Source organism: Homo sapiens, chromosome 20 (assembly GCF_000001405.40).
Source record: "Homo sapiens chromosome 20, GRCh38.p14 Primary Assembly".
Classification (NCBI taxonomy): Eukaryota; Metazoa; Chordata; class Mammalia; order Primates; family Hominidae; genus Homo; species Homo sapiens.
In genome coordinates this window covers 101,324-115,476 of record NC_000020.11, presented here as the reverse complement: position 1 = coordinate 115,476, position 14,153 = coordinate 101,324, and the positions used below count along the sequence as shown (strand labels likewise).

General features: G+C 38.8%; 2 annotated features.

The window, feature by feature from the left end:
* Positions 11,342-11,841: an enhancer, noted in NCBI's record as "H3K4me1 hESC enhancer chr20:84277-84776 (GRCh37/hg19 assembly coordinates)". NCBI's record gives its function as "activates a minimal SCP1, AML or CMV promoter by ChIP-STARR-seq in naive H9 embryonic stem cells {active_cell/tissue: H9 hESC(naive)}" and the evidence as "EXISTENCE:reporter gene assay evidence [ECO:0000049][PMID:30033119]".
* Positions 11,842-12,343: an enhancer, noted in NCBI's record as "H3K4me1 hESC enhancer chr20:83775-84276 (GRCh37/hg19 assembly coordinates)". NCBI's record gives its function as "activates a minimal SCP1, AML or CMV promoter by ChIP-STARR-seq in naive and primed H9 embryonic stem cells {active_cell/tissue: H9 hESC(naive and primed)}" and the evidence as "EXISTENCE:reporter gene assay evidence [ECO:0000049][PMID:30033119]".

Genomic DNA, 14,153 nt, shown 5'->3' with positions numbered 1-14,153 from the left:
CAGGGGAGTGTAGAGTGTGCCCACATGCAGAGTTCAGGTGGAGGCAGACTGTTGCACTGGAAGCCAAAGCCGAGCCTTGCCTGGTGAGGAGGAGCAGGGCAGTCTGACCACTCCTCAGCACCATGACTGCAGCCCCTATCAGGGCTATGGCAGCTGGCACCAGGTTGATCAGGGATCCAGGGCCTGTGGGGCTCCACATGGCCCTTAGCAGTGCGTCTACACAAACTCCAGGATGTTGTGTCGATCTAGAGGCCTATAGGGGCCAAGGGGTTCTCCTGTGCACAGGATTGCAAAGATCCATGTGGATCCCCTGAGGACTCTCACTTACTCACCCTTTCCCCATGTTAGGGAATTTCTCTTGCTCCACACTGGTCCCGGGTGAGCGGCTGCTGCCAGGCTTCACTCTCTGCTCTCTGAGGATTCCCTCACTTCCTTGGTGAATCCTGATGTGGTCTCCCAGACGATCCACTTGAAAAGCCACTATTTACTCGCTACTTTGTTTCCTCTCCGTGAGAGTAGCACACGCTAGCTGCTTCTAGTCAGCCATCTTGAAACTGCCATCAAGATATTTCTAAATATACACAGATTATTCTGTAATTTATATGGAAAGGCAAAATAGCTAGAATGGATTAGTCAATCTTGAAAAAATAGAATAAAGTCGGAGAAATTAATTCTACCCAATTATGAAAGTTGTTGTATAGCTTCAGTAACCAAGATTTGTATTAGCAGAGGAATGGACACATACATGAATGGAAAAGAATACAGAATCCGGAAGTAGAACCATACTAGTATAGCCAATTGATTTTTTTTACAAAGATATAAAACCAATTAAATGAAGGAAGAATAATCTTTTTAAATATAGGTGATGGAACAGTTGCATATCCACAGGTTAAAAAAAATTAACTTACCTAAACACCCCACATACATGAAAAAAAAGCCCTCAAAATTGGTCATAGAATCACATGTAAGATGTAAAACCATAAAGCTTTTAAAAGAAAACATAGGAGAAAATCTATGGAGCTTAATGCTTGGTTATGAGGTTTTAGACATGACACAAAAAGCCCAATCCATAAAAAGTAATTGACAAATTTAACTTCATCAAAGTCTTAAAATTTGCTCTGCAAAAGACCCTGTTAAGAAAATAAAAAGACAAGCAATAACCTTACAGAATGTATTTGCAGACTACACATAATAAATAAAATATAAAACTCTGAAAATTAACAGTAAAAGAAAAAAATTATCCCTGTTTACAGACAGCATAATCTTATATTTAGAAAAACCTAGACTCCACTGAAAGCTGTTAGAATTGGAGATCCTAGCCCAAACAATCAGGCAAGACAAGGAAATAAAAGGTGTCTAAATAGGAAAAGAGAAAGTCAAATTAGCTCTCTAAGCTGACAATGTGATTCTATGCGCCTAGAAAACCCTAATGATTCCACCAAAAGACTTCCAGATTTAATAAACAACTTCAGCAAAGTCTCAAAACACAATCCCATTCATGACAGCCACATGAAAAATAAAATACATTGCAAATATTTAGCCAAGGAGGTGAAAGATTTCTACCGGGAGAACTACAAAACACTGCTAAAAGAAATAATAAATAATATAAGCAAATGAAAAAATATCCCATGCTCATGGATTGGAAGAATCAATATCATTTAAATGGCCAAACTGCCCAATGCAGTCTATAGATTCAACACTATTTCTATCAAACTGCCATTATCATTTTTCACAGAATTAGAAAATCTATTCTACAATTCATATGAAACCAAAAAAGAGCCCCAATAGTCAAAGCAAACTTAAGCAAAAGGAACAAAGCTGGAGGCATCACATGACCTAACTTCAAACTATAAGCCAACAGTAACCAAAACAGCATGATACTGGTACAAAAACAGACTCATAAACCAATGGAACAGAATGGAGAACCTGGAAATAAAGCCACAAACCTGCAGCCATTTGATCTTCAACAAAGACAACAAAAATTATCATGGAGAAAGGACTCCCTATTCAATAATTCTATTCAATAATTCAGTAATGGTGCTTGGATAGCTGGCTAGCCATATGCAGAAGAATGAAATGGACCCCTGCCCTTCACCATGTATAAAAATTGACTCAAGTTCGATTAGAGATTTAAATGTAAGATCCAAAACTTTAAGAATCCTAGAAGAGCTGGGCGCAGCGGCTCACACCTGTAATCCCAGCACTTTGGGAGGCTGAGGTGGGCGGATCATGAGGTCAGGAGTTTGAGACCAGCCTGACCAACATGGTGAAATCTGGTCTCCAGTAAAAATACAAAAATTAGCCAGGTGTGGTGGCATGCACCAGTAATCCCAGCTACTCAGGAGGTTGAGGCAGGAGAACAGCTTGAACCCAGGAGGTGGAGGTTGCAGTGATCTAAGATCACGCCACTGCACTCCAGCCTGGGCAACAGAGTGAGACTCCATCTCAAAAAAAAAAAAAAAAAAAAAAAAGAAAGAAAAAAGAATCCTAGAAGAAAACCTAGAAAACACCATTCTCAACATCACCTTGGAAAATAATTTATGACTAAGTTCTCAAAAGCAATTGAAAAAAACAAAAACCAAAAATTGGAAAGTGGGACTTAATTAAACTTCTGCACCACAAAACTCTCAACAGAGTAAACAGATAACCTATAGAATGGAAGAAAATATTTACAGACTATGCATCCAACAAAGATCTAATATCCAGAATCTATAAGGCAATTAAACAATTCAATAAGAAAAAAAAACTCATGGAAAAAATGGGCAAAGGACACAAACAGACACTTCTCAAAGGAAGACATATAAGTGCTCAACAAACATATGAAAAAAATGCTCATCATCACTAATCATCAGAGCAATGCAAATCAAAACCATGACTGGATACCATTTCACAACAGTCAGAATGACTATTACTCAAACATGAAAAACAAATAAACAGATGTTGGTGAGGTTGCAGAGAAAACTGAACATTTTTACACTCTTGGTGGGAATGTAAATTAGTTCAGCCAGTTTGAAAGCAGTTTGGAGATTTCTTAAGGAACTTAATGATAGAGCTACCATTCAACCCAGCAATCTCATTACTGGGTATCTATGCAAAAGAAAACAAATCATTCCACCAAAATGACAGATGCAGTTATAGCTCATCACAGCACTATTCACAATAGCAAAGACATGAAATCAACCTACATGCCCATCTATGGTGGATTGGATAAAGACAATGTGTTATATATACACCATCAAATACTATGCAGCCATAATAAAGAATGAAATTATGCTCTTTGCAGCAACATGGATGCAGCTGGATGTTGTAATACTAAGTGAATTAACACAGGAACAGAAAACCAAACACCATATGTTGTAAGTGGAGGCTGAACATTGAGTACTGATGGACATAAAGATGAAAACAATAGACACTGGGTACTACTGGGTAGGCGGTGGACAAGGTTTGATAAACTAACTACTGGGTACTATGCTCAGACCTGTGTGACAAAATCATTCATATCCCAAACCTCAGCATCATGCAATATACCCAGGTAACAAACTTGCACATGTATCCCCTGAATCTAAAATGAAAGTTGAAAAAAGAGAGAATGGCAATTAATACATGATGGGATTAAAGCAGTAGCCATTACACGGTGACTTGAATTCCCCTGGGGTAATGGCCCCACCCTGAGACAAAAAAGATTATGAAAGGCATTAAAACATACTAAAAACTAAATTAGATCTAGTTTGACTACAATTCATCTAATCTATATATGAAGAACCCGCATTTTGGGGTAAAAACCACATATGCTAACTGCACTTGGGCCATAAGTATACAATGCCAACAACATGCATGGTGAATTAAACTACATTTGTGCATAAAACAGACTTTTTAGGGGCATTAGGTGTCAGTTCAGGCATCATGGGACAAGCTGAATTCCCTTTTAGTGAAGTCTAGAGGAAATATTACTGAACTAAAATGAGCAGATTGGAGAGAATTCTTTTCTAGGAGGAAGGCAAAAGATGAGGGTCATCCTGAGAAAGTGATGAGGCTTTATTAAAATGAAACAAGTAGACTCAAAAATAATGCTAGATAATGCTAAGATCCAACGTTGGGAAAGGGCTTGTACCCTGACCCAACAGTGCCTTTTGACTGTTTTAATTACAGATGAAGGTCAAAGTAACCATGGGGAAATAGCACTACATCCTAGTTGCTGAGGAAAAAGGGACACACTTATGGGAATCTCATGGGCCTTCAAACTTATGAAAGACCTCTCAGGGCATTTGTAAATGTGCATTGATGCACTACAAATTATTCTTGCCCCATTAGAGCTTCAGAATAAGACATATTCTGCAGTACAGTTAGTAGGGACTGAAGCTATCTGAATATCACCTGTGACCTCCCATAGGAGGGTGGGGAGGTCCTGCTGTAGAAAATCACACAATGGAAACCAGTCTCTGTCCAAGCTTGAAAACTAAAACGGGGTGGCTGTCTTTGTCCTCCGTTGACATGGAAGCCAGAAATAATCAAATCATTCTAACAATTATAACAATGCTTGTCCATAAGTATATCTTGTATATAAGCAAGGACTGTTTCTGTTGGGAAGGCATAGCAAAACTTACGTAAGCCTTACTAATTTGTTCTATGAATGAAACTAAATTGTTCCATGACTATATTGCTATACAGTGTGACACTATTATTGTTGGTAAGATTCAGCCACCTTATTAAATAAGTCATAGGATGGTACTGATACTGATGATCAAATGTATTGAGAGATTGAGTTAAGCCTCCTCAGGATGTATTACCAATGGAAAATGACTAGCCTAAGGAAGAATTGGATTTAGTTAACCATAAACTAATTTCTAGGCTAAATAATTCTGCAGCTGTAAGATTAAAGTGGTAGATCAAGGGGAGAAACAAGTAACAAATCAGTACAAAAATATGAAAATGTATGTAATGGCTTTATGAGATAGATTAGTTGTTTTTAAAATCTTTATCCCTACCCCACACTAGCTCCTCCAAATGTTTTTGAGCATAGCACAACCATGGTATGCTGGGCCTTCCACTGCTATATTTTATCTACTATAACTAGAGATCTTTCTTCATACTGATACTATTTCTAGATCTGTTATATAAATGCTATACTAAATGTAGATGCTCAGAAATATAGAATTGTTTTGCTGAAAGACAGCCTAGGCTAAGGGGTATGGGGTGGACTGTGTAATAAAGGGTTAACTCAGAAGATTTGGGGTTGTCCTAACCCTGCATATTTCAAAGGTCCTGGCAGATAATCTCTGAGCCCTTTAATTATCCTGCCTGATAAAGTGTCTTTGTATACCTGAGACTTGGCCCATGCCAAATAGTTTATGCTAACAATGTGATTTATGGTGAATAAATCATATATTTTTTTCTATGACTGGGGCTTCAGGCCAAGCGGTATTAGCTTGACTCCTAAGGTTAGGGGCTGAAGATTGAGTAGCTAAATTCAGTCTTGGGGATGCTTCATGCTTATGTGATTGACTCCCACTGAAAATGGCTGGCACCATTTTGCACTTATTGTCATACCTTATGGTTGGAAGAATTGAGTTCTATTCGTGTGATTCTGGAGGAAGAGTACAACTGAAAGCTCATACCTGTTTTTTCCTAGGCATCACTCTGTGCACCTTTTACCTTTGCTGACTTTAATCTGTATCTCCTAACTGTATTAAGCTGTAACCATGAGTATAATCGTTTTTATAGGTCTGGTGAGTTTTTCTAGTGAGTCATCAAACTTGAGGGTGATCTTGGAGACCCCTCAGTACAGCTAAACATATATAACAATGGAGTAGAATTGTGAGCCAAGAAATAAACTCTAACACTTATTTTTCTTTATAACTTCAACTTTTATTTTAGATACATGGGATACAAGTACAGGTTTGTTACATGGGTATATTGTGTGATGCTGTCGTTTGGGTTATGTTTCCTTTCACTTGGGTAGTGAGCATAGTACCCAATAGTTAGTTTATCAGCCCATGCCCCCCTTCCTCCCTCCTCCCTCTAGTAATCCACATTGTCTATTGTTTCCTTCTTTATGTTGATGACTACACAATGTTTTGCTCCTACTTATAAGTGAGAACATACAGTATTTGGTTTTCTGTTCCTGCATTAATTTGCTTAGAATTATGGTCTCCAGCTGCATCCATGTTGCTGCAGAAAACATGATTTCATTCTTTTTTATGGATGCATAGTATTTCATGTTGAATATGTAACACATTGTCTTTATCCAATCCACCATTGATGATTGATGAGCACATAGGTTGATTTCATGTCTTTACTATTGGGAATAGTGCTGCGATGAACATAGGGCTGCATGTGTCTTTTTGGTAGAATGATTTGTTTTCTTTTGCATAGATACCCACTAATGAGATTTCTGGGTCAAATGGTAGCTCTATTTTTAAGTTCCTTAAGAAATCTCCAAACTGCTTTCCAAACTGGCAGAACTAGTTTTTGTTCCCACCAAGAGTGTATGTGTTTCCTTTTCTCTACAGCTTCACTAGCTTCTGCTATTATTTGACTTTTGAATAATGGCCATTCTGACTGGTATGAGATGGTATCTAATTGCTTTGATTTGCCTTTCTTTGATGATTAGTGATGATGAGAATTCTTCATGTTTTTTGGCCACTTGTATGTCTTTTGAGAAGTGTCTGTTTATAACTTTTGCCCATTTTTAATGGGATTTTTTTTTGCTTATTGAATTAATTTCCTTATAGATTCTGGATATTAGACCTTTATTGGATGTATAGTTTGCGAATATTTTCTCCCATTCTGTAGGTTGTCTGTTTACTCTGTTGAGAGTTTCTTTTGCTGTGTAGAAGCTCTTTAGTTTAATTAGGTCCCACTTGCCAATTTTTGTTTTTGTTGCAATTGCTTTTGGAGACTTAGCCAAGAATTCTTTACCAACGTGGATGTTGAGAAGGGTATTTCCAGGTTTTCTTCCAGGATTCTTATAGTTTAAGATCTTACATTTAAATATTTAATCCTTGTGGAGTTAATTTTTATATATGGTGAAGGGCAGGGGTCCACTTTCATTCTTCTGCATATGGTTAGCCAGCTACCCAAGCACCGTTTATTGAATAGGGGGTCTTTTCCCTGTGCTTATTTTTGTTGTCTTTATCAAAGATCAGATGTCTGTAGGTGTGTGGCTTCATTTCTGGGTTGTCTATTCTGTTCCATTAGTGATATGTTTATTTTTGTACCAGTATCAGCTGTTTTGGTTACTGTGGGTTTATAATATAGTTTGAAGTCAGATAATGTGATGCCTCTGGCTTTGTTCCTTTTGCTTAGGATTGCTTTGGTGATTTGGGTACTTTTTGGATTCCATATGAATTGTAGAATAGTTTTTTTATAATTCTGTGAAAAGCAGTTTTTGTAGTTTGATAGAAATAGCATTGAATCTGTAGATTGCTTTGGAATGTATAGCCATTTAAATGACATTGATCTTTTTGATATATGAGTATGGAATTGTTTATATTTATTTGTGTCATCTCTGATTTCTTGCAGAAGTATTTTGTAGTTCTCCTTGTGGAGACCTTTCACTTCCTTGGTTAGCTGTATTCCTAGGGATTTTCATTTTTTATGGCTATTATAAATGGGATTGTGTTCTTGATTGGACTCTCAGGTTGAAGGTTATTGTGTATAGAAATGTACATTGACATTGATATTGTATCCTGAGACTTTACAGAAGTTGTTCATCAGTATTATAAGCCTCTTGCCAGAGTATTTGGGGTTTTCCAGGTGTAGAATCATATCATCAGCAATGAGGGATAGTTTGACTTCTTCTTTTCCTATTTGGATGCCTTTTATTTCTTTTTCTTGCCTGATTGCTCTAGTAGCACTTCCAGTACTATGTTGAATAGGCATGGTGAGAGTGGGCATCCTTGTCTTGTTGCAGTTCTGAAAGGGAATGGTTCCGGCTTTTACCAGTTCAGAATGATCGTGGCTATGGGTTTGTCATAGATGGCTCATTATTTTACGGTATGTTCCTTCAGTGCCTAGTCTGTTGTGGGTTTTTATCATTAAGGTGCGTTGGATTGTTTTCAAATCCTTTTCTGCATCTATTGAGATGATCATATTTTTTTGCTTTTAATTCTGATTATGTGGTGAATCACATTTATTGATTTGCATATATTGAGCCAGCCTTGCATCCCAGGAATAAAGCCTACTTGATTCTGATGTATTAATTTTTTGATCTGTTGCTGGGATTGGTTTCCTAGTATTTTGTTGAAAATTTTTGCATCTATGTTAATCAGGGATATTGGTCTGAGGTTTTCTTTATTTGTGTCTCTGACAGATTTTGGTATCTGGCTGATGCTGGCTTCATAGACTGAGTTAGGGAAGAGCCTCTCCTCCTAGATTTTTTTGGAATAGTTTCAGTAGAATTGATACCAGTTCTTTTTATGTCTGGTAGAATTAGGCTGTGAATCCATCTCTTCCAGGGTTTTTTTGGGCTGGTAGGTTTTTATTATTGATTCAGTTTAGGAACTTGTTTATTGATTGTTCAGGTTTTCATGTTCCTTTGGCTTTAATATTGGGAGGTTTTATATTTCCAGGAATTTATCCATTTCCTCTAGATTTTCCAATTTGTGTGCATAGAGTTGTTCAAAATGATCTCTGAGTATCTTTTGTATTTCTGTGGGATTCATTGTAATGTCATCTTCTTCATTTTTTATTGTATTTATTTTGGTCTTCTTTTTTCTTCATGGTTATGTAGCTAGCAGTCTATCAACCTTTTTTATTCTTTCAAAAAACCACCTTTTGGCTTTATTGGTCCTTTCTATGGAATTTTGCATCTCAATTTTTTTCAGTTCTTTTCTAATTTTAGTAATTTTTTTTTCTTCTGCTAGCTTTGGGGTTGGTTTGTTCTTTTCTTTCTAGTTCTAGGTGCAAACTTTGATGGTTAATCTGAGATCTTTCTAACTTCTTGATGATGACGTTTAGCACTATAAATTTCCCTTAACACTGCTTTGGCTGTATCACAGATATTTCGGTAAATTGTGTCCCTATTTTAATAAAAAATTCAGATAATTTTTTAATTTTCTGCTGTAATTTGATGTTTACCCAGGTATCAGGAGCATTTCTATGTATTTGTGTAATTTTAAGAGATCTTCTTGATATTCATTTCTATTTTTATTAAACTGTGGCCTGAGAATGGGCTCAGCATGACTTTTTTAAATTTATTGAGACTTGCTTTATGACTGAGCATGTGGTCAATCTTGGAATATGTTCCACGTGCCAAAGAGAAGAAGGAAGTTATATTCTGTTGTTGTTGGGTGGAATATTTTGTAGGTGTCTGTTAGGTCTAGTTGGTCAAACGTTGAGTTGAAGTCCAGGATTTTTTGGTTAATTTTCTGCCTCAGTGATTTGTCTAACACTCTCAGTAGGGTGTTGAAGTCTCCCACTATTATTGCATGGCTATCTACATCTTTTTATAGGTTAAGAAGAACTTGTTTTATGAATCTGGGTGCCTCAATGTTGGGAACATATATGTTTAGAATATAAACATATTCAGGTGGAGCAAAGCACTCAGGCTTGGCAGTGGAGGCTGCACTGTGCACATGCTTCTGCAGGGTGGCTAGGCAGGGGCCTTCGGAGGGGCTACAGGTAGGAGGGCCTGCAGAACAGATGCACCCCAGTCCCATGGCAAAGGTGGTCCCACTCTCTCCAGGCCCAACAGTTAAGTCTTCTCACTGAATTGTATCCTTTATTATTATGTAATGCCCTTCTTTGTCCCTCTTCATAGTTGTTGATTTAAAGTCTGTTTTATCTGATATAAGAATAACAACTCATGCTCTTTTTTGTTTTCCATTTGTGTGACAGATCTTTCTTTATCCCTTTACTCTGAGCCTGTGGGTGTAGTTACATGTGAGGTAGGTCTCTTAAAGACAGCAGATAGTTGGGTCTTGTCTTTTTATCAATCTTGCTACACTGTGTCCTTTAAGTGGGTTGTTTAGTCCATTTACATTCATGGTTAGTATTGATATGCGAGATTTTTATCCTGTCATTGTGTTGTTAGCTGGTTATTATGTAGACTTGATAGTGTAGTTGCTTTATAGTGTCTTTATGTGCATAAGTATGTTTTTTTTTTTTTTTTTGTAGCAGGTGTTGTTCTTTTGATTGTAGGTTTAGAGCTCCCTTAAGAATCTCTTGTAAGGAGGCATATCTGGTTGTGATGAATTTCCTCAGCATTTGCTTGTCTGAGAAATATTTTATTTCCTCTTTGTTTATTAAGCTTAGTTTGATGGGATTTGAAATTCTTGGTTAGAATTTCTTTTCTTTAAGGATTCTGAAAAAGGCCCCTAATCTCTTCTGGTTTGTCAGGTTTCTGCTGAGAGGTCTGGTGTTAGCCTGATGGGGTTCTCTTTACATATGACATGACCCTTCTTTCTAGCTGGCTTTAAGATTTTTTTTCCTTCATGCTGACCTTGGCAAATCTGATGACTATGTTTCTTGGGATGGTCATGTTGTATTTTATCTAGCTGGGGTTCTCTGTATTTCTTGAATTTGCATGTCAACCTCTCTAGTGAGATTAGGGAAATTTTCATGGAGTATATCCTCAAATATATTTTCCAAGCTGTTCACTCTCTTTCCCTCCTCTCGGGAATGCTAGTGTGTCAGAAGTTTTGTTTCTGTACATAATCTCATATTTCTTGGTGGTTTTGTTCAGTTTTAAAGATTTTTTCTTTCTGACTTTGTTCATTTGAAGGACCAGCCTTTGAGCTCTGAGATTCTTTCCTCAGCTTGGTCTATTCTGTTAATACTGTTATACTGTCATATTATGAAATTATTGTAGCAAATTTTTCAGTTCTAGAAGTTTAGTTTGGTTCCTTCTTAAAATGGCTATTTCATCTTTCAGCTCTTGAATCATTTTACTGGATTCCTTGGATTGGATTTTAACTTTCTCCTAAATCTCAATGAGCTTCTTGCCATTTGGATTCTGAATTCTATGTCTGTCATTTCAGTCTGGTTAAGGACCACTGCTGGGGAGATAGTGGGCTGATTTTGAGGTAAGGGGACACCCTGGCTTTTTGAACTGCTGGGGTTCTTGCATTGATTCTTTCTCTTCTGGTGGGAGGGGGGCTGGTTTTCTTTTAAATGTGGTGTAAGTTGAATATAGTCAGTTGAGTTCATTTCTGGATGTTTTCAGAGGTCCGTGGCTCTGTACAGGATCTTTATGTATGGGCAAAGTCTTGCACTTGGTTTCACAGGGGTGTATATTAGCAGAATCATTTTTGGTGCTGTAGTTGGGGCTGAGATCTAGTCATTGATGCTTAAGTAGTGACTGGTACATAGGCTGTTACTCAGCTCTTTTGCATGTCCTTCCATTTGCAGGCATGTTCTATGGTGAGTGGAGTGGGAGAGAAAACTCCTCACCAGATCTGCTCTTGGGCCTTTAGGGACCCCACCCTGATCACTGGCATCATTTCTGTGTTTCGTTAGGTGTTCCAGGCTGTGGGGCTTCCTTGGGCAGAGGCCATGGCAGGGAGATGGGCCACACCCTTTCCAGACCAACCCTGCAGAGGGAGGCACACCTTGCTCCCAAGCTGGCCCATGAACCCACACATCTTGCCCCCTTTATGTTCTGATATTGGGGGCCTCTCCTCTACTTGCCTGTCAGCCACAGATCTCAGCTGCATGCTCCCAAGCTGTGTGCTGCAGCCCTGGGGCACGGGGATGATCTGTGGCTTGGGGTCAAGCTCCAGCTGCACTGAGGGATCTGAAGTGCTCCCAGGTTACTGGGAATGTACTCAGGTGGAGCAAAGCACTCCGGCTTAGTGGTGGAGGCTGTGCTGTGCTCATGCTCCTGCAGGGTGGCTAGGCAGGGGCCATGGGAGGGGCTGGCAGGCAGGAGAGCCTGCAGAACAGATGCACCCCAGTCCCATGGCAAAGCTGGCGCCACTCTCTCCAGGTCCAGCAGTCAGCTGGGGCTACAGCCTCTCAGAAGAAGATGGGGAGCCCTTGGGGATGGGCACCTGCGGTCATGCGCTGCCAGAGCTGCCCCATGCACAAAAGCTCCTGGGCTTCACACTGGCTGAAGCCCTGTCTCTGCCTGCTCCCTGCTAGCCTACAAATCCATGAGGGACATGGGGTACCCTGTAGCTATGATCCCAGAGGTCCATGGCAAAAGCGGGATGTTCCTTAGTCCCCTTACTTACCCCTTCCCCAGGAGCCACTCAGGGTCAGGAACTAGCCCTAATGTTCAGGCACCTCATGCAGAGATTCCAGCTTCCTCTCTCTTCAGCTTTGGTGTCAGTGTTGCCTCTCCATCCACTCTTGGTGCTTTCTCTCCAAAGATCTGCCCAAATTATCACATTTATTATTAATTGATTTTCTATAAGGGTGTCCAGACAATTCAGTGGGTAAATAGTCTTTTTATCAAATAGTGTTGGAGAAACTGGAGAGCCACATGCAAAAGAATGAATTTGGACCCCTACCTTACATCATACAAAAAAATTAAATTAAAAAGGATCGTACAGCTAAATGTGAAAGCTAAAACCCTTAGAAGAAAACACAAGAATAAGCCTTTATGACCTTAAATTAGGGAATGATTTCTTAGATATGACACCAAAAAGAAAAGTGTTTTTAAAAAAGAGAACTTCATCAAAATTAAAAACTGCTCTACTTCAAAAGACACCATTGATATAATGAAAAAACAACCCAGAGAATGGGGGAAATATATGTCACATGTCTAACTTATCAAATCATATACCTAATATGGACAGCATAGATAAAGAGGTAGAGAATTTCAGACTTGAGCTGGAAACTATATAAGAATGTGGCAAAATGCAAATACTAAACACACACACACACACACACACACACACACACACACACACACACACACACACAGAGAGAGAGAGAGAGAGAACATATAAAGTCAGTAATTTGGAGGTCAGTCCCATATAGGGAAGTGATAGATTACTGAGCCTACAGGAGATCCTAAAGGGCAATGATATAAACAAACTAGAAGTTATGCTGCAAAGCCCACATTCATGGAAAAGGAAAATCCAGGAATCATAGAAAAACAGAATGATCACAGTAGTAGAAGAATCATCATCAGTTTATACCAGATAGTGTTTGAAGCCTCTGTTCATTCTAGGAGTATGAACAGTTTAAAAATAAAATTTATAGTGGGGGTATTAGGCCATGAGCTTTTCAAACCTCTTTGAATTTTGAAAAGTGTGTTTTCATTATCTGAAGTGAATGTTTTCATTATCTGAAGTGAAATAACTCAGAAACAGAAAGTCAAATACTACATGTTCTCACAAGTGGAAACTAAGTATACACATGGACATAAGGAGTGGGTAATAGACACTGGAAACTTGGAAGGGTAGAAGGGGGCTAAGAAATGAGAAATTACTTAATGGGTACAATGTACACTATTTGGGTGATGGCTAAACTAAAAGCCCAGACTTCACCACTATGTAATATATGCATATAAGAAAACAACACTTGTACCTTCTAAATCAATTTATAAAATAATACATATTATACAATTATATGTATGTGTGTGTATATATATATATATAACCAGTGCAAAGTGAGGGAAGATACCTTCTTCTGAGAGTCAACTGTTAAGTTTTCTATTCATTTTATTTTTGATTTATGGTAACTTTCTCATTCATCAGGAATAATCCTAGCCACAGTCTTCAGGAGACAGAGACCAAGCAATTCTGAATGACTATAAAGCAAATAGCCCATGCCAAAGATGATTTCTTTGGTTTAAAACACATTTGCAGGACAGATTTTGAAACTGTACTCACTTGTTAATTTTCTCTTTTATAATTTCCCTTTTCTTTTGTAGGTTGGCAATCAAAACCAACATCTAGACAGTGCCAACCTTGATGCTTGATGAAGTGGTTAAGAGCATTCCTGGGCCGGGCGCGGTGGCTCACACCTGTAATCCCAGCACTTTGGGAGGCCAAGGTGGGCGGATCACGAGGTCAGGAGATCTAGACCATCCTGGCTAACAGGGTGAAACCCCGTCTCTACTAAAAATACAAAAATTAGCCGGGCATGGCGGCGTGCTCCTGTAGTCCCAGCTGCTAGGGAGGCTGAGGCAGGAGAATGGCGTGAACCCGGGAGGCAGAGCTTGCAGTGAGCCGAGATGGCGCCACTGCACTCCAGCCTGGGCG